We start from the raw sequence: 15,215 nt of genomic DNA, 5'->3' as shown, positions 1-15,215 counted from the left end.
GGAATGTTCTTCCATTTGTTTGTATCCTCTTTTATTTCAATGAGCAGTGGTTTGTAGTTCTCCTTGGAGAGGTCCTTCACATCCCTTGTAAGTTGGATTCCTAGGTATTTTATTCTCTTTGAAGCAATTGTGAATGGGAGTTCACTCATGTTTTGGCTCTCTGTTTGTCTGTTATTGGTGTATAAGAATGCTTGTGATTTTTGCACATTGATTTTGTATCCTGAGACTTTGCTGAAGTTGCCTATCAGCTTAAGGAGATTTTGGGCTGAGATGATGGGGTTTTCTAGATATACAATCATGTCATCTGCAAACAGGGACAATTTGACTTCCTCTTTTCCTAATTGAATGCCCTTTATTTCCTTCTCCTGCCTGATTGCAGAAGTAGGAAGGATTTTAAAATTATGCTGGATCTAATTCAAAATTTAGTGTCATATTCTTTTTTTTTTTTTTTTTTTGAGACAGAATCTCGCTCTGTTGCCCAGGCTGGAGTGCAGTGGCATGATCTCAGTTCACTGCAACCTCTGCCTTCCAGGTTCAAGTGATTCTTGTGCCTCACCCTCCCAAGTAGCTAGGATTATAGGCATGTGCCACCAAGCCCGGCTAATTTTTGTTGTTGTTGTTGTTTTTGTTTTTTTTTGTATTTTTAGTAGAGATGGGGTTTCACCACGTTGGCCAGGCTGGTCTCGAACTCCTAGCCTCAAGTGATCTGCTCACTTCATCCTCCCAAAGTGCTGGGATTACAGGCATGAGCCTCTGCGCCTGGCCCTAAGTATTAGCTGGTGTCCAGAATTAAAGGACAGTCATTCCTTTCTTCATGGGTGTTTTGATTTTAGAATTGTTAACCTTTCCCAGTGGTAGAATTACAGGGTTGGCATTTCAGAAGCTCTAAATCAGATACACTACACTCAAGTTATTACCTGTACTAACTAAAAGTTGAGTGTTAAGGGAACAACCGGGTGTCTACGTGGAAAGTCATTTCCATCTGTGTCAGAATCTTGGCCTATTAAGTGAACATGAAACCTAGTTCATATCTGTTGTTTGTAGGGCTTCGGTACTAGCTAAATTGTTTTTCCTAATTTGGGGAAAAGAATTTAGGAGCAGAGGAAGGAGACTGAATGAATGGTATATGAAGTTGTTTGTTGTTTTTTCATCTTTTTGGCTAGCTCAGAGTGTAACTTATTTACCCAAAGTCACACAACTATTCCTTCACTTATTCAGTCAACAGATGTGTTTCCTATATGTCAGGAACTTTCTGTGTTCTGGAGATAATGGTGATCTTTCCTCCTATATTGTTGCTAAGGCACAGACAAGCACAGGCAGGTAATAGACATAAAAAAACGTGATTTTATGTGTGGTAAGTGGTATTCAAGAAAATAAGAGGAATGGTATAGAATGTGGTGGAAGTAGGGGATACAAGGACACTGGCTAATTTAGAATGGGAAAATCCCTCTGAGATGAGGATATTAGAGCCGTGACCTGAATGACCTCCATTTGAAGATCAGCGAAAAATCTATACGAGAGAAAGCAGTAAGTACAAAGTCCCCAGTTTGGGAAATGCTTGGCACACCTGAGGAGCAGAAAGAAGGGCTGGTGTGGCTGGAGCCTAATGAAATTTAAATTGAGAGGAGGATGTGTCTAGGCCAGTTTATGTCATGCTTGATAGACCAGGGTAAGAAATTTGAGTTGTATTTGAGTTGCAATGGACAGCATTGGAAGGCTTTAAACAAGGAAGAGACTTTTTTTTAAAGACCGCTGGCTACGATATAGAGAAAAGACTATAATGATGCAGAGACAAGTTAAGTTTTATCTAAGTAGTTATACTGATTTGTTCTGAGGGAAATAAAGTAATGCATATTGTCCTTTTAGGTTCAATCTGAGCGAATTAGAGAAGGAATGGAAAAAGTTACCAAATAGCCACTAACAATGGCCTAAGATTGTGAATGTGGTGGTCTTGTTTTCCTCCTTACTTGTGGCATTAACAAAGTGTATGAGCTTCCTATTTGAAATCTGTGGAATATGTATATTGAAATCTTTAGATTTTTTTGGTTTAAATGCTTTTCAGAATTGACAAACTGTTTTTCAGTTAATTTCACATCTAAATTAAATGAAAACAATCTCAAATAAGTACAATTGCTACTGAAATTGTCAAAGGAATTTTGCTGAGGCAAAGCAGTGAAAACATTTCCCTTCTATAAAGAAGTTATGATGCTTGAACTTAATGGCTATGAAGGTTAAAAATTTTAAATACAGATTAATCTCTGTGCTAGTGTTTAGAGAGAGATGACATATAAGAATTTTTTGGCTCTTCATGTTATTTTAAATGCTCATGAGTAATACCAGAAACAGGCTTTATTTGGAAATAGATATACTATTTAAGACAAAATTTGAAGAGATTTATTTTAAAGTGTTCCATTTCTCTTTGAGAAATATTTTTTTTCTTTGCCTAGATACCTGGCACAGTGATGAACTTAATAGAAGATTCTGTCCTCACTATGCATATGGTCTGTGTTGTGGGTTCTTCCACATAAGCAAACAGGTGAAGATTAAGCCAGGCCACCCATGTGGGGGATCTAGCCCACTGCCAAGGGTGACTTTTTAGGGTGCTTGGGCCTCATCCATCCTTTTATAATCAAGATTATTAAAACAATGGGAGATGCTGTATGCTGATCTCCAGAAGAACAAAGAATTAGTTGGGTGTTAAACCAAGAACACTAAAAATGCAGCAGTAGCCAAAATTGCTGTGACCAGGTATAGGACAGTAAAAGGAAGGCTGTAAAAAGAACCTCTGAGGACCCAGGTGACTCTAGCTGTTAATGTCTGTCTGTCCTTGGATATTGGGAACTGAAGCAGATGTCTAAGCTGTAGAGCTAGAGTTGACATGAGATAGCTCTGTCTCTTCTTGGGTCTGTGGAAGTTGCAGTCTTTATCGAGTGGCAGTGATTAGACCACTCTAAGACCCAAGGCTTATGAGGCTGGGGAGCTTCCAGGGTGAGGAAGAAGCAAAGTACTAGCTACTACCTCCTAGAAAAGATGCGAGAATTTGGGAGTGGTGGGAGGAACTGAGAGACCCTGTGATTTCCAGCAACTTAAAGAGACAAGCAAGACCAGGTGTCCACCTGGGAAGCCATTTTTACATATTTTAGAATCTTGGCTTATTGAACAAGCTCAGGTCTATTGCTTACTAAGCTTCTCTTCTTGCTAAGTTTCCAATTAGTAATTTAAGTCGTGCTGTGAAGGATTGTATGCAGTTTGAAACTCCACAGTCCAGATTCATTTGAGTTAACACCTCTGTATCCCATATATGTATTCTCTTAATACATCACCTAATATTTCCAAAGCCCCCCCCCCCAGTCACTGTCATCTGGTCATCCTCTATCTTCTCACAATACTTTTTCCTCATAGCACTAAATAGTACCTGTCCTCATATTAAGTGTCTGTTTATTATCTGCCTCCTTCCCTGGAATGTAAGCTTCATGAGGGCAGGAGTGCAGTTTTGTTTATTACTGTAACCTCAGAGTAGAGAAGCCTGGCCACATAGTAGATGCTAGTATTCGTTTCCTAGGGCTGCTGTAACAGATACCATACATGAGTTACTTAAAACAACAGAAATTTATTCTTTCACAGTTTAGGTGGCCAGAAGTCCCAAACCAAGATATAACAAATTATATCTGCAAAGCCTTTATTTCCACAGAACCACATTCTGAGGTTCTGGGTGGACATTAATTTGGCAGGGAGTAGTGGGGGGACACTAACCTACTACAGTGCTCAGTAAATATTTATTGGGTGAATGAAAATTCAGAGTGTATTCTAAGCTGTAAACCCCTTGGATGTTTTCATCACAGTCTTCTCTTAATAACTGCTACAGAACATAAGGATTAGTTTGTGGTCCCAGATTTTTTAGGCTCCAATTCTGCTTCTACCACTTTCTACTTGTGAGCTCTTAGGCAAGCTATTTAACTTTGTAAGCCTCAGTTTCTTCTGTAAAATGGTGACAATAAGAAATAACAGTAAGTGCCCAATAAGTTTTAACTATTATTATGTGTCTATAGCTATTTTAAAGCACTTTCTATATGTAATCCTCATAACAACCGTATTAGGTGAGCCTATTACACTTCTCATTTTATGACAAAGGAAACTAGATTTGTTTCAAGAATGAAAAACCTAGAAAATTATATGTCACTTTATGAAGTGCCTGGCACATAGTACATAGAATAGCTTAGCTACAATAATATAGATATGTGACTTTACCTCATAACTTTAAGACATCTCAAATTGATTCACAAATCAGAAAAAAAATCTGAGGCATCAGATGTGAGGTGAGGTGAGGTGAGGCATCTCAGTTTTTGCACATATGGTTACTGTTATTGAGGGAGCTCCATGTCATTGAGGGAGCTCCACGTCATTGAGGGAGGACTGGGTGGGATGCTGGCCAAAGGTAGGGGCATATTTAGGCAGTGAAATTGCAGTTATGGGACCCCTCTATAGCACTAGATGTGTGAGAGGACTAAAAATAAAATTCCTTTGAAATTTCTTACAGGGTCATATATTACCTCCTTCCCAATGACTACTGTGGTATATTAGAGTAGGGGATTGATGTCCCAGAAATATTATGTACATCAAACAGAAGATCTACACAAATTGTTTTATCAGATACTGAATATATCAATGGGCTAGAGTGTATTATAGTACATATGGGTATGTTGTTTTCCCCCTTTTGACTAAATAAACTCTCCCCTCTCTGCAACAGGTAAATTTCCAGTTTACCTTTTTCTTGCTGTTTTTAATTTTTTTTATTTTGAAGGCTTTGTATCTTTATATCTCAGCTGAAAATATTACATTCTAACTCCCCAAAGCTATTCTCACATTATTTGCAAGTATTTTTTCATAGTTTACATGTTTGTGTATTTGTTTAATACATTCCACAAGACTGAAAGTCTTGGTGAGGGCAGGAACTCTGTCTAGGTTGTTCATCTGGCAGCCAGCAAACCCAAAATAAGTATTAGTTGAATGAATAGCTAAATAGATGAGCCATGGGGTAGCATATCTGTTTTAGCTACTGCTTGCCTGTTATCATCCTGGGATGCTGCTTGCTTCTCCGTGATCTCTTCTTGTTCTTAAATTGTCTTCAGTTGTAGTACTAAGTACTAATTTGATCTGTAATGTGATATGTGGCTGAAGTTTGCTCTGTAAAATCACCGTTTCCTGAGGTATATTCAATATCTTTAATTTTTCCATAAATCTCTTCAAGGTTTGTGTGTGTTTTCTTTTAAATTATCTAACTAGTTGGATGTATGCTTGAAGTGCTAGACAATAAAAGTTTCAATAGGCTAGAAATGTTTCTTTTTGTAAAATTATTTTAAGAAACTAGATGATGGTTGTCACTTGAAGCTGAAATGCAAATGTAGCTAGTTTTTTTTAAAGAATAATTCAAATAGGTCATTAAAGATTACTATGAGCACACTGCATATTCAAATCAGTTTGAATATGTTTTGAGACTTCTAATAGTTTATGATTCTTGACATTTTAATGAGCACACTGCATATTCAAATCAGTTTGAATATGTTTTGAGACTTCTAATAGTTTATGATTCTTGACATTTTAAAAGTTTATTATAAAGAATATAAAACATCTTTACCCTCATTTTTTATGTCATTACCTTCATGCAAAGAATACCTCAGGTATTAATTCTGGTGCTGTTGGTAACTAGAACTGGTTGGGTTTTCTTGCTAAAAGGAAGTTTAAAAAATGTTTATTTTACACCATTAATGCAATTAGCTTTAGTTCTCAGAGGAACTAAAAGTGGAAAAGTGAGGGAGACTGATCGACCCTATCTCAAATCCACTGACGTAGCTACTTTAATTTCATAGTCCCTGTAGCACCTCCACCAGAGGGCAGAAAGTGGAAGAGAAAGAAGATGAAATAGAAACTTGTACTTGGCCTCAGAATGCCTGTAGAAACCTTAGCAATTGAATCCAGCCCTTATGTTATAGGCTGAGTTAACTGTGGCCCAGAAAGACTATGTGATTTGCTCACAGTTCTTGATTCCCAGACTGGCACTGCGGTGATGGTGTGTGATGAGGTAGTATCTTAGTAAGAACACAATCCAGAAGTCACTGCCTCGGGGGAATCCCAGCTCAGCTTCTTGCTAGCTTGCGTAGGCTGGTTACTTCACTTCAGCTCCCTGAATCTGCTTTCTTATCTCTAAAATAAAAATAATAGCTTCTTCCTCAGAGTAGTTGGTGGAACTGAAAGAATACATGTAAAGTGCTTAGTATGACACCTGCCACATAATATGAACTGAATTATTGTGAATTATGATAAATTTGTCAGATACTGGTTTACAAATCGGATGTTAGAATAACATGGAATCAGTGTTTCAGTCATTTTACTATACATATGCAATATTTTCTACATTTGATCTCACTTCAGAAACAAAATACTGCCCCCCCCATTTTACAAATGCATATTTTTTTCTCAGCAATAATGTTCAAGAACAAGTGCTTGGCCCATATTTTGTTGTCTTTACATGGCTTTCTTTAAATAATGGGGATGGATTTATTAAATAACCTCATGAGTAATTTTCAAAATTTCCATTAAGATCTTGATTGAAATTGGATGAAAAATCATTTCTAAGAAAAACCCAATGAAGTGTTTTTCTTTGCCACATTTGACAATTGCCTTGGACTTGGTAAAGTAATCATTACTGTGTTGAGTACCTCCAGTGCCCTCCTTGACGCTGCCTTAGAAAAGGTAGCTGCTTTTGAATGACAGGCAGGAATTTGTTCGCCTTTTAGGTTCAGCCTGTAGGTGCCCTCTGCAGGAAATCAGGAACTAGGGTTTTGGAAGCAGTCAGGGTGGGGTTCTCCCTTGTCCCTGCAGCCTCAGCAAAGACTCAGGCAGTCTGGCAAAAGCAGTTTCTTCAGCATACCTAACAGAACGCAAGTTTCCATATGCCTGATGCAAATAATGGCCTCCAAACGTTAAACCTTTTTTGAGATAAACTTGTTCTTTAATTGCCAGCGCCTGCAGTTAATTTTGATTGGCTACACTCTGGTTAAAAGAAAATGCTTTCGATGTGATATGGCAAATTTGGAGAAAAGTAACTCTTTTGCTCCCAACCAGTCTTCCACAACTTAAACTTAATCGTCCTGTCCTTTTCTGCTGCCCTCGTGGAGTGTAAGTTTTTGAGGGAGACCAGCAGAAACTGACTTTCCATATGCCCCTGAAGAATAACTTCTTTGAATGCAAAGAGGTGGGGACACGGAGGATCTGTCATTACGGGTTATTATGGGTGGGACCCAGAGACGGGAGTGAAGGGAGGGTGTGGCCCGCGGGTGGGATCTGTAGAGCAGACAAAATATGGGGCCCCTGGCGCTTAAAGTTCAGTTTGTCTCTCTTGAGCTTGGAGAAAATCATCCGTAGTGCCTCCCCGGGGGACACGTAGAGGAGAGAAAAGCGACCAAGATAAAAGTGGACAGAAGAATAAGCGAGACTTTTTATCCATGAAACAGTCTCCTGCCCTCGCTCCGGAAGAGCGCTGCCGCAGAGCCGGGTCCCCAAAGCCGGTAAGATCGATGATTCGCTGTCCTACCGCAGCCAGGTGTGATGGCCTCTTAGTCCCGGTGAATTCAGGGTCAGCCCCTCCCGCCCCCGTCCTCTCCTCCGCCCGATGCCACCTCCTTCCCCAGCCGCCGGTGAGCTCCCGCTCTGACAGTTCCGCGCTCAGCGCCCTGCACCCAGTTCCCAGGCGCACGGCCCTGGTCCCGACCACCACCCCGGTCGCCCGGCGTCCGAGACCCTCCCAGGGTCATGGGCAGGGTTTCCTTCAGTGTTCGAGTCGGCTCGATCCGGAGACCCCGGTCTCCATGCCGGGGGTGATGCCACCTTTCCTGCAGAGTCCCTCCTCCGCACGGTGCCCTCCAAGCATCTAGTGGACTTGGCTGCACACTGGCGGCAGGGGAGGCTGCAGGTGGAGCTGTCGGAGCCAGCCCCTCGGGGATCTACAGCTTCCTGTCTGCGCCGGCGTCTCGGGCGCCGGGTGGCTGGAGGGACTGTGCAGCAGTCTTGCCTGCCCCAGACGTAAGCCCCCTTCCCCAGCTGCGAGCGCCTGGGTGTCGGTCCCTCCACAGCCCGGGCTCGCGCTTGGTTCCCCGGCCCCCAGTTGGTGCCTGGGGATCACTCGCCCGTCCTAAGTGCTGGCATCCCAGAACTGGCCCTCTTGCAGAGTGCTGGGAACTTGTAGGTCCCTGCGTGCAAACTTTCTCCGGCGTGAACCTGCCTAGGCACAGGAGGGCTGGCCGCCGGGGGCGCAGGCTCTGCGCTGTAGGATTTGGTTGGCTCAGATCCAGTCCTGGGAAGGGGCAGCGTTGGCTCTCGTTCAGGAGGAGAAAGAAAGGGAAGGGCACCACGGACAGTCCCTACTGGCCTGAGCCCCCAGGAAGAAGGTCTAATTTGCGGCTGCCCCTCTCCTTCGGTGTCATTAGGGCCCCGGAATCCGCTTGCTACCGCGAGGGTCCCAGCTGCTCCGAATCGGGGACCGACCGGTGACGCTAGCTGCAGGCAGAGAGGGCAGGCTGTGCGGGCGGAAGGGAGGTGGTGTCTTGTCGGATCTTACTGGGACCCAGTTCCTGAGCTCCCGTGGCAGGCGCCTCACTCCTGCTACTACCTGCTCGGGGCCAGTGGATGGCAGTGTACGCGCTTTTTGCACGGCTCCCGGTTCCTGGGACCGAGCCCTGGGAGCTCTGACTTTGAATTCAGCAGGGAAGCTTCGGGGCTGGGCATTCCCAGGGAAGCTGTTCGAGTAATTCATAAAGTGGAGCTTTCCTCCCGCGGGAAACTTCTGAGAACGATGCGCTGCGAAGACGGACTCCTGTACAAGACTTCGATGACTGACATAGGCACAATTGTGGCTTCTAGTTTTTATTTTAACTTTTTATTTAAAGTAACTTATCGATGGAAGCGAAACTCTGCAAAGGAACGTCAGACCGCTACCAGAAAGGGGGTGAAGTCAGGACTTACTGGTGATTATTGTCCAAGGACACATTTAAGCAGATAGTTTTGAAATTAATTTTGGCATAACCCTGAGACAATGAGAAGAAACAATGCATTTATAAAAAGTTATTAAACCATTTTTTTTTGTCACAGTCAAAACATTCATTAGCTTGTTTCTATTATTAGGTGCCCAATAGGTTTGTTGTGTGAGATTGTGCTAAAAATTGGTCCTCAGATCCTGGGACTTGAGAGGTTAGAGGAGGTTCCTGGGGCTTGCGAGGTTAGAGGAGATGTCTGCATAGACTCACGTGTGGGCTTGGCTGACCAGGCAGGTTTTCCATAGAATGCTTTCCAGGACACCAAGAATTTCAATAGGATGAACTATTTTGGGGTTATTTGGGTGTGGAAACACATCAACCTCAAAACCCCAAGATTCTATAAGGCATTTTTTAAGGGGGAGGGGACTCTTTCCAGAAAGTTCCTTTCAGGGTAGGCTTACAGGACCAACGATGAAAGCCTCTGTTAACCTTCCTGTGGGTTAAAAAGACACACCAAGAATTGCTCTATTAACCTTATCAAGCACATATCCAGGTACAGAGACACTTTCTTAAAAGATGCAAAATTCATTCCATCAGAAACCTTCCTCATAATGCTGCAGAAATCACAATAGCAACAGCATAGAAGGCAGGCATCAGTGCTTCCGCATCTTGCATTCCACAACCAGCTGTGGTTTCCTTTTGGAAGGGTCACATTCTCCACCATAGCTTCATGTGGATTTCAGCAGTTGCTAGTTCTATTGACTGGCCAGCCCCTCTGTTGACCTCCCCCACTGTTGGGGGCAGACAGGAAGTTAGAGGAGAAGCTGAGTGGCCCAGGAGCTTCAGAGAGTCACTTTCAAAAGCCTGTACTTTCAAATCTCCATACTGTTAATGAGGTACTCCTTTCCTTATTTTTCCTCTTTTCCGCACTTGTAGCCTCTTTCAACACAAAGACTTGTGGTCTTAGGGTTTCTGAGTGTCCCCACTGCTGGGGTAATAAGAGCTCTCTGAGGAGCAGGAGAGCCGCAACACTGAATTGTTGCTGAGCGTATCTGAGGGGGAAAGGTTTGTTTGACCTGCTACTTCTACCTAATAAGTTATTCAACAAGTATGGATTCATGCATCCTGTTAGCCCCATCACTATTCTTGGCATTCCATTTTGCTGGACCAAATGGAAAATGAGGCTGGCTGGCTAAAGGGTACTGACCTGATACTGGCTGGCTAAACATACTAGGTTCACACTAAACACTCAAGGGATTCCAAGACTTACCTGTTCCTCAGAGTCTACACACTCACATAAAGACACACACAGACATAATACACTTGTTTGTTTTATGTCTGTTCAGAGAGGGTGGAAATGGCAGACCCCTTAAGAGTAGAAGGTGCTGTAGATGACCTGCCTTGGTGGGAAGAGTAGGAGCTTTGGTGTCAGACCTCTGACTCTGCCCCTTAAGAACCGCAAGGCTCTGGGCAAGTCAAATAATCTTGCTGGGCCTCAGTTTCCTTGGTCAGAAAATGTAGATGGTACTACTGACCACTGGTAAGGACACTGCAGACTGTGGAATACGTACTAGAAGTACTTTATGTAATAGTGGTATATTCTGGTGAAGGTTCCCTAACCTTTTTTTAAAAAACTACTTTATTGAAGTATTGGCGAGCAAAAACCTGTATATATTTAATGTAAACAATGTGATAGGTTTGGAAACAAGTATACATCTATAAAACCGTCACCACAATTAATGTCACAAACCTATCCATCATCTTCAAAAGTTCCCTTCTGCCATCTTTATTATTGTTATTATTATTTTGTTATAAGGACACTTAACATAAGATCTACCCACCTAGCAAATTTTTAAGTATAGAATATAGTATTCTTAACTACAGAAGCCATGCTGTGTAGTAGATTTCTAGGACTTATTTATCTTGCATTACTGAAACTTTATACCCTTGGTCCAATACCTCCCCATTTCCTCCTCCTCTGGGAAACCACCATTCCACTCTCTGCTTCTATGAGTTTGACTGTTTTAAGATTCCTCAATTAAGTGGGATCATGTAGTATTTGTCCTTCTGTGTCTGGCTTATTTCACTTAGCATAGTGTCCTCTAGGTTCATCTCTGCTGTCAGAAATGGTAGGATTTGTTTCTTTGTTAAGGCTGAGTAATATTGTACTGTATGTATATATACATACTGTTTATATATACCCCATTTTTCTTTATCCATTCATCTATCAGTGGACATTAGGCTGCTCCTATGTTTTTGCTATTGTGAATAATGCTGCAATGCACATGGGAATGCAGATGTCTTTTCAAGATCCCAATTTTAAATTCTTTGGTTACATATCTAGAAATGGGATCATATGTTAGTTCTATACTGTATGCTGGTATCATATGCTGGATCATATGATAGTTCTATTTTTAATTTTTTTGAGGAACTTCCATACTCTTTCCCATAATGGTTGCACCAATTTACATTCCCATGAACCATATACAAGAGATGCATTTTCTTGGCATCCAACACTTGTTATCTTTTGTTTTTTGATCACATTAACAGTGGCAAAGGGCTGAAATCTCTTTGTGGTTTTGATTTGTAATTCTCTGTTGATTGGTGATGTTGAGCATCTTTCATATACTTACTGGCCATTTTTATGTCTTCTTTGGAGTAATGTCTATTTAGGTCTTTTTCCCATTTTAAAATCAGGCTATTAGCTTTTTGGCTACTGAATTGAAGGAGTTCCTTATATATGTTGGATATTAATCCTTTATCAGATATATGATTCGCAAATATTTTCTCCCACTTTATAGATTGCCTTTTCATTTTGTTGATCATATCGTTTGCTATGCAGAAGCTTTTTAGTTTAGCATAATCTTATTTGGTTATTATTGCTTTTTTTTTTTTTTTTTTGCCTATGCTTTTGGTGTCGTATCCAAGAAATTATCGCCGAGATCAATGTCAAGATTTTCCTTTATGTTTTCTTTCAGAAATTTTACAGTTTCAGGTCTTATGGTTAAGTCTTTAATCCATTTTAACTTGATTTTTGTGCATGGCATGAGATAAAGTTCCAATGTTATTCTTTTGCATATGTGTAGCCAGTTTTCCCAGCACCATTTGTTGAAGACATATCTTTCCTCCATTGTATATTCTTGGCATCCTTGTCAACTATGTATGTATGAGTTTATTTCTGGGATCTCTCTTCTGTTTGGCCATATGGCTGTTTTCATATGAGTACCATACTGTTTTGATTAGTGTAGCTTTGTAATATATTTTGAAATCATGACGTATGATACCTCTAGCTTTTTTTTTTCTTGCTCGTAATTGCTTTGGTGATTTGTTTCCTAATCTGTTTTTACTTGAGGATCCAGTCTCATCCTAGACTTGGTGAGAAATGTCTCAAGACTTTTTCCACAGGCAGCTTTCTGTGACTCTAGAGCCATGTGATGCAATGGAGTAGCTCTTAGCCAATTGTGGTTGTTTAAATTTAATCAACATTAAATCAAATTAAAAATTTATTTCTTCAGTCTCCTTGGGCACATTTTAAGTGCTCAGTTATTTTATAAAGCTGGTGGCAACTGTATTGGGCAGCACAGATACATGATCTCCTTCGTTGCAGGCTGTTCTCTCAGGCAGTTCTAGAGCTTTCTTTTGCTTGAGTGATGATATAAGATTTTAGGATGATAAAAATTTTCCTAGGCCAAGGCACAGTGGCTCACTGGGATTACTGGAGGCTGAGCCAGATGGATCACCTGAGGTCAGGAGTTCGAGACCAGCTTGGCCAACATGGCAAAACACCATCTCTACTAAAAATACAAAAAAATTACCAGGGCGTGATGGCACCTGCCTGTAGTCCCAGCTACTTGGGAGGCTGAGGCAAGAGAATTGCTTAAATCCGGGAGGCAGAGGCTGCAGTGAGCCGAGATCATCCCAGTGCACTCCGGCCTGGGTGATAGAGCGAGACTCCATCTCAAAAAAAAAAAAAAAAAGAAAAGAAAAGAAAGAAAGAAAGAAAAGAAAAGAAAAAGTTTTCCTGTAAAGCACCTCTATTTGCTTCTTTTTCTTTTAAGAAGTGGTTTCCTATAGCAGAATCACTTCCGTTTGTTGAGGTCTCTTACGTGGCCTAGGCATTTGTTGAATAGTAAATGGCCAGATTGATGTATAAATCACTGACAAGTGAGTATTAGTCACATAATCCTCTGAGTTCTCCCCTTCAGCCTTGATGATTTTGCTTATGTATTGTTCTTTTCCCTCCCTATGAGCTTTATGGCCGATGATTTTCCTGGTTTTACAGCAGAAACTAATACAACAGAAGGAGGCTCTTCTCCCTCCATATGTACTCCTACATGTTGTACCATTTTTTACAAGAATGAAAGCACTATAATACTAAGTACAATGTTTGGGGGAAAGATCCACCAAGTGTTTAATTTAATCAGGCTTAAAAACTAATACTCCACCTCACTACGTAGGACCCCTTCTTGAACTCATCCTCATTTGACAAACTATATATTTTACTTCCATGGCCTTCCTGGTGTGTGTTTCTGTGTGTTCTCTTATTATAAGAACATCAGTCATATTGGATTTAGGCTTCACCCTAATCCAGTATGACCTTGTCCTAACTAACTTCAACTGCAAAGACCCTATATGCAAAGGAAGGACACATTTTGAGGTTCTCGGTGAACATATATTTTGGAGACACTATTCAACCCATTACAGATGCATAGATAGGTCAGTCTTTTCCCTAGCTGGATTTCTTACCCCATGAAGTATATTCTGTTCCTGAGGCTTTACTAAATCTGCTTTAGTGCAAGCACAATCTGTAATGTTTATTATTCTCATGGACAGACGATCATCATGCAGGTTGGGAGATTATGTTCTGCTAATGAGCGCTTTCTACCTGGGTGTGGAACACATGGGATGACTCACCTTGGGACTGCTGAATCAGCTGTTCTTCCCCAAGCCTGTCACTGTCCCCAGTTCTGTCTTCAGTCTCCACCCTTTCTCTTCACTCATAAAGAGCCACAGTCATCCTGGAGCAGTGGCTAGTCTGTTTGCCTCTTTCTTGAGCCTTCTGCATTGGCGTTTGGTCTGCTCTGAGCTCTGCTGAAGGGTGCCCATTAATTATGCCTTCCCTTCTGCCTGCTGGCAGTTGTCCCGATCAGCTCACCTTACAGCAGCTGTTTGCATATTCTCCTGCAATACATTTCTACATGTCCAAACCATCAGAGCTGGTGGTGACAAATGCAGTGTCAATGCTTAATCAGGCTGGTTGAGGATCCAAGGTTGTCCTGTAGGTGATCCATCTTGTCATTAATGTCAGTGCTGAAACTCTGTAAGAGGCTCAAGATGACATCTGTGGAGAAGGGCCAGTCGGCCAACAGGCTGGCTTAGGAGCAGGGCAGAAAATATAGAGGCGAGTTGCGAAGACCATTTTGGTGTCTCCAGCTTGTGCTTCCTTAGCCCAGGGTCCCTTCAACCTGTTAACCTTTAGGTTGACAGCACTTGAAGAGTACTTTTTGTTTGTAGCACTTTGGGGGAGTTTTAAAGTCCTATGCAGCTATGAAAGTAGGTGTCAGTGTCTCTGAAGCCACAAAAGTGTCATTCTGCTGAAGTGTCATAGATAGAGATTGACAGTACCAGGAAATCTTAATCTGAGACTCCAAGAACCTCCTGAATGGTGAAAAATCTTTTTATGCATAGTTCTGTTTGAATTTTTCTGGTAATAGCACCACAACTTCCCAAGAAGTGAAAGCCATAGCTAGACCTAAATAGCTTTAATGTATGAGAATTCAACTATACAGGCTGGACAAAAAGAATACATTCATCTCCTTATTTAACAAACATTTATGTGACAGGTATATTATTAGGCACTTAGGAGACATCTATGAACAAAACAGGGATTCATGCACTTGTGAAGCTTGGTTTCTAACTAAGCAATAAACCCTAAACCATGAGTGCAGGGAGGAGAGATGAATGTTTAATTAATATGAGTCATTCTATTCAGTGTCCTGGAGTAAGAGCAAAAGATGAGAGAAAGGAATCTGCCATTAGTTTCAGAACCTGGTGCCTTTTATGTGTATCCTTTTTGCAGTTCCACGTGTGATCCTGGGTTTAAAGATTGTGCCATTTTATTCCCTAACCTCAAGCCAATTAATTAATCTGGTACTCAACCGATGAGCCTGTTCCAGCTCTGAAACA

General features: G+C 41.4%; 1 protein-coding gene and 1 long non-coding RNA gene across 5 annotated transcripts in view; one reads left to right on the top strand and one right to left on the bottom strand.

Annotated features, from left to right (window-relative positions):
- Positions 1 to 14,107, bottom strand: part of LOC101927179 (uncharacterized) — a 65,504-nt gene extending 51,397 nt beyond the window's left edge. For both annotated transcript variants that reach the window (NR_125880.1, NR_125881.1), the window contains exon 1: positions 13,944 to 14,107. This is a non-coding gene — a long non-coding RNA (uncharacterized LOC101927179). The remainder of the gene's footprint in view (positions 1 to 13,943) is intronic.
- CORIN (corin, serine peptidase) overlaps positions 7,385 to 15,215 on the top strand; it is a 244,067-nt gene continuing 236,236 nt past the window's right edge. For all 3 annotated transcript variants that reach the window (NM_001278585.2, NM_006587.4, NM_001278586.2), the window contains exon 1: positions 7,385 to 7,565. In NM_001278585.2, coding sequence (NP_001265514.1) covers positions 7,503 to 7,565 — 63 coding nt within the window. In that variant the 5' untranslated portion in view covers positions 7,385 to 7,502. The remainder of the gene's footprint in view (positions 7,566 to 15,215) is intronic.

This window comes from Homo sapiens, chromosome 4, assembly GCF_000001405.40.
Source record: "Homo sapiens chromosome 4, GRCh38.p14 Primary Assembly".
Lineage (NCBI taxonomy): Eukaryota > Metazoa > Chordata > Mammalia > Primates > Hominidae > Homo > Homo sapiens.
Note: the sequence above shows the minus strand (reverse complement) of the source record. Positions and strands in the feature narration are given on the sequence as shown.